This window comes from Homo sapiens, chromosome 12 (genome assembly GCF_000001405.40).
Source record: "Homo sapiens chromosome 12, GRCh38.p14 Primary Assembly".
Taxonomy (NCBI): Eukaryota; Metazoa; Chordata; class Mammalia; order Primates; family Hominidae; genus Homo; species Homo sapiens.
This window is the reverse complement of record NC_000012.12, coordinates 115,777,291-115,783,290: the sequence shown is the minus strand read 5'-3', so window position 1 is coordinate 115,783,290 and position 6,000 is coordinate 115,777,291.

Here is a 6,000-nt window from a genome sequence, read left to right as displayed (position 1 = left end):
AACAGAGAGATTTTTATTTCCATATGGATTATGTTAAGGAGTGTGTGTGTGTGTGTGTGTGTGTGTGTGTGAATATATACACATACATACGAAAGAGAAATGGCCCTATTATAGGAAGCCTCATTAAAGAGGCCTGGAAAAGGTTAGTTCATTTGCAGACTATACATCTTAATCTCCCCACACTGCACACTAACCTGGAAGGAGAGAGAGAATCTACAGCCAGAGAGATCCTGGCTTCATTCCAAGCCCTGGATCAAGTAGACCTTACTCTTTCCCGCCAGCTACCCATCATTAGCACTATATATTAACCCAGAGAAACTGTTCTCCCAAGGGGCTCCTGGAAATGGGAGAATGTGGAAACCAATTCATAGTGGTGGAGACCCACACTTCTTGCCTGGACACCATTCCTTAGCTGGCAGGTGCACCTGGGGCTCAGGCCCCCTGAAATGGGGGTGCAGAAGCCAGGAGCATGTTATAGGTTAAAGCAGTGCTGATAGGTTGAGTGGCTGTTCACCTGCTGCTGGCTGGTTCCCATCTGTGTTAACGGCTTCCAACTGGCCTCATTATTTGGGAAACTGGAGGCCTTTGGACAAAGGCCCTTATGCCGGTTTTGCAAACATCAACACATCCCCTGCAGGCTCTTTTCAGGTTCCAGGTTGCAAGCTCTAAGGAGTGGAAATAGGCAGGCAGGAGCTGGCTTCTGCCATTCCAGGCTTGACTCTTTACCCGTCCCTCTGAGTCTGTTTCCCTATGTGAAATGTGTGTTGGGTGGCAGGAGGGTGGAAACAGTTATTCCACTTACTCCTTGAGGTCACGAGGATTAAGGAGGAGGGAAGGAAGAAAGGAACTTTCTATTTTATTTATTTTTTATGGCATGTGCTGGGCTGTAGGCTGGCACTTCCAAACAGATGCTCAGAAAGCTTCTCCCTTCCCTTCCTGCCCTTTCCTTCACTGTGCCCTCTTGTGCTATGCAGCGCCCCCTCCCTTCTCCCAAGTCCCAGTCTCTGTCTTCCTGCAGCACCTAGTCTGCACCGTGCATTCTATCATTGGTGACAGAGCCCCTTGATCCCCAAAGTGAGGTCCGTACACCAGCACCCCCTGGAAGCTTGTTAGAGATGCAGAACCTCAGGCCCCATCCCAGACCTGGTGAATTAGACTCCACATTTTAACACCGTCCCAAGTGACTTGTGTACATGGTCAGGCTGTATAAGGGCGGCCAAAGCAGACTCTCCTCTACATGTGTACATCTGTTTGTATCATCCATGAGACCCTCTCCTTGAGTGGCTTCTGTCCTGGGGATTTCCAAAAACAAGAGGAGGCAGAGAATGTGCCTGTTCTGAAGATTCAGACATAAGAGGGAACTGACTTCTGGACACACAATGTCCTTTCTCTTTGTCAGTGTTCTTTCAAGTTTTCTGATTACATCAAAAGAGAGACTCTACTTGGGGCTTATCTGTCCTTAATACCTTATAAAGAGTACCCCCAATCCACAGGCAAGAACAGAGATAGGCCCAAGGCAAGGCTCAAGATGTTCCTGGGAGCTGGAGACAATTAAACATGGAGGAAGTAGGCAAGAGTCATTGGGAATGTTTGAGGCCAAGACTCCTACATCCAGATGCTTTCCTGAATACGTGGTCTTCTCAGTTAAAAGTAAGCTCTGGAATAGAACAAATCTTGTATCTACTTCATTTTGTATGGCTCCTCGTCCCCCATCCCACAGTGATTCACAATGGGTATTCAAATATTTATTGCCTTGACCTGGATTTTGGTATGTAGAGTAGGAAGGTGTTGAGATAACTGTTGATAGTAAATACACCACAAACACGGCCATATTCCTCTTGCCTGTGCCCAGGGCAGACATTACTAATCAATTGTTGCACTCTTCCGCACTGAGCTTCAATCTGGATACAGCACTATAGAGCATCACCAAGTGATCAGAGTTGATTAGGCATAGTTGTCTTCAGTCCAGATCTCCTGGATGCCAGGATCCTGTCTAGTAAGTCTGTTTCTGAACAACCCAGCTGAATGCTGTCACAAGTCAAGCACTGGTAATGGTGATGGACTTGATGATGATAAAATTACTGTCCTTTTCTTTCCCTTTTGGTAAGAGTGGGTTTAATGGAAATCAATCACAAATGATACCTAAAATTTATTTTAAATTTGGAAATAACATACTAATAACACATGAATCGAAGAAATCCCAAAAGAAATTAGAAAATATTTGAACTGAATGAAAATGAGAACACAGTATCTCGAAACATGTGGGATACAGCTAAAGAAATGGTTATGGGGAAATTAATAGCATTAAATATTTCAGTTAGGAAAGAAGATAGGCCCATCCTAAATTTAAAAAAGAATAAATTAAACCCAAAATATATAGAATAAAGGAAATAATAACAGACAGCAGAAATCAATGAAATTATTTTTAAACACCAGAAAAACAACGGAGAAAAATAAATTTTCTGTAATGAACAATAAAATTCATATATCTCTAGGTAAATTAATCAATGAAAATGGGGGAAAATTATTAATGAAGGGGAGATATCACTATAGTTTCTTTTAAAATGATAACAAGGAAATATCTGAAACATTTTGTGTTGAGACAGCTTACAACCTTACAAGGACAAACTCCTTGAAAGATACATATTAACAAACAAATTTAAGAAAAATATAGAACATGGCTGAGCCCTCTATAATTGAATTTATAATTAAAATTTCTCCCAAACAGAAAATTCCACGTCCAAAATGGCTTCATTGGTGAACTTTGTCAAACATCTAAGGAATAAGTACTACAAATTCTTTCAGAAATTTGAAAGATGGGAACACTCTCTAATACTTCCCAGGAGGCCAACATTATTCTGACATCAGAAAATAATTACAAGAAAAAACTATGTTATAATTCTATGTGAAAACAGACACTAAAATTCTTAACAGTTATTAGCAAGTCAAGCCCAGTAATAGATAAAAAGAATAATACATTATGGCCAAAGACAGTTTATCCCAATAATGCAAGGGCAGCTTAATATTGAAAACATATATCAGTGTCATTCACCACATGAAAGCATGAAAGAAACGAAAGAGAAAAATTAGAATGCCAACAAGATGCAAAAAATAACTTACAATTTAACATTCATTTATGATTAAAAAAACTGTCAGCAAACTAGGAATAGATATAACTACCTCAACCTGTTAATGGACACCTACAACTAACACTATTTTTTTGAAAAATAACTTCAACATTTATTTTAGATTCAAAAAAGATTTATTCTTTTAAAAAATAATTCCGACATTTTAGATTCAAAGGATACATGTGCAGATTTGTTTCATGGGTGTATTGCATGATGCTGACATTTGGGGTATGAATGACCCCATCACCCAGGTAGGGAACATAGTACCCAACAGTTTTTCAGCCTTTGTCCCATCTCCTTCTCCCGGTAGTCCCGAGTGTCTATTGCTGCCATCTTTATGTCCATGAGTATTCAATGTTCAGCTCCCACCCATAAGTAAGAACATGTGGTATTTGGTTTTCTGTCTCTGTATTAATTCACTTAGGATAATGACCTCCAGCTGCATCCACGTTCCTGCAAAGGACATGATTTTGTTCTTTTTTTGTGGCTGCGACTCTGTCCTTTTTGAGACAGCAGCCACTCCTTGGTTATGGAGTTGGGGACTGAGATACTTGGAAATAATTGATGCCTTTGGCAGAGATGGAACACTGGAACCTGTTCTTTTTTGGTTCCAGCATCTATCATGTTATTTTTACTATTTTTTTTTTTAAGGAAAACCTAAGTCTTAGGTCTGGGGGTTCAGGTAGGATACATACCACTTCTGTACTCCAGGGACTAGCACATGACCAATCAGAGCACTCCATCCCTTAGTGATTGGTTCAGAGAAGAGCATGCGACCCAACCCCAGTGAGTTCAGACCTAGGTTTAGTCCAGGGTCTAGTTCAGGTTTGAAGATGGACAAGAGTAAATCCTTTGAACTTTAGTGGCTTTTGCTTTTTGTTTCACAACTAAAGCAGCTAATAAGCAATATAAAGGGATAAAGAGGAAAACCTGGAGGTGGTGAAGCCTGCAGGTGGATCCCACTTCCTCCTCATCATCTCATTGAGGCACATGTGGCCATTTGGTGGCCTCAGTAGACTGAGATGTTTGCCGTGTCAAAGTTGAGAAGAACAGACTTGCTGTCTTTTATAGTCTACCAAGTCAGCAGTCAGGATCAGGATTTATTACACATAAGGCAGTAATTCTGTAACTCAGAAGCCACATCCACAAGCCCTGACATTCTAGGCCTTGAACACAGCACTGGGGTCATGTCTCCTTATCTACATCTTTGCTGTGAGGCCTGCTTTATAGGGCCAGTCATAACTTAACATCCCAGTCTACTGAGATTGCATCCTAGGACCTGTGGAACTGTTGGCAAAGAAGTGCTCTCTGTTTAGAAGAGTTGGATCTGAGAGGACATAAGGCTAGAGCTACTATAAGAGCTGCAGAGAGAATTTTCTTGAGGATGAATAAAAATAGGACTCCAAGATAAGGGGGCAGTGGAGGAGGTATCATAATCTAATGATTTCACTTGAGCCCCTGGATCCAGCCATGCCTGAATCCTGTCTGCTCCTAGACTTTTCAGGTAATTGAGCTAATAGGTTCTGCTTTTTTTGCTTAAGCCAGTTTGAGTTGGACTTCTGTTACTTCCACAAAAACAGTTCTGACTAAGGCAGATGGAGAGTAGAATCTATGAAGTGTTCTGATTGAATTTTGCTGGTATTCAGAATTCATCAGTGGAAAAGGTAATGGCATGGAAACCATCACCTTCCCCTTCTGCCATCTCCCCATAATGACTCACCTTCTTGGAACTTCAGTTTGCTCTTCTCTAAATCAAGTGGGTTTTGCTGGGTAGCCCTTAACGTGACTTAAGAAGACACTAAAAGTGGAGGAAGCATTCCTCAAAAGCAGTCAGAAACAACTGGATAAAGTGCATGACAATAGTAGAGTCTGCTGTTGTGCATTGAGCACTTACTCTCTGCCAGGTGTTCTGGCCACGGTCTCACTGAGTCCTAGCAACAACCCTCTGAGGTAGGTACTCCTGCTATCCCCGTTTTACAGATGGTAAAACTGAGGCACAGGGGGTGAAGTAAGTCACCCAAGATCACATTGCTAACAAGCAGTGGAGCCAGGATTTGAACATGAGCCTGCTGAGCCCCCTCCTTGCAAGCTCTGCCTACTTGCCTGGTTTGGGAAGGAGAGTTGGGGAGGGGGATCACATCTCTAAAGTGTTTCCTCAGCTGGTTGTCACCTCTGGAGCTAATGTCAGCTGATGGGTGCTGATATGCATTTAGTGCCCACAGCTAAACAACCTATGGCATCATAACTTAGAAAAGATGCCTGTAAAATAACTGAGTATTGAAAGTCGTTTAAAAAGATACTATTGCAAACAAGAAAGTACTTACAAACAAAGAAGAAGTAAAACCAGGACGATACATAAATGCAAACAAATAACATGGCAGAACTGACATGTCTCTAATGCCTAGTTTAAGGCCTGGACAAAATCTTAAAAATTATCAAGAAGACCATTTGAAATATGGGTTTATAGCCACAATTCCTAAAGATAAATCTTACCTACAGTACATAGCATACTTTGGGACATTAACCAATAATAGAAGCACAGGTCCACAATCCATTGTCTGTAAACCTAAAATCTATAAACCGCTGAAAGTTAAGTTTTTGTGGTAAGTTTGAGATACACTTATTTGGCAATACCTGATCTGAATAGATATGAGGACATTGAGAGTATTTATTCTCTTTAGAGTAACTGATCATATTTGTCTCTTTCTCTGTGTGTGTTTAGAGTGCTAACCCATATCTCCATGGGGATGTTAACTAATATTCAATATACACACCAGCTTCTCTTCCTAAAATCCAAAACAATTCTCATTTCTGAAGCACCTCTGGACCCAAGAGTTTTGAATAAAGGATTGTGGGTTTGCACAAATATATC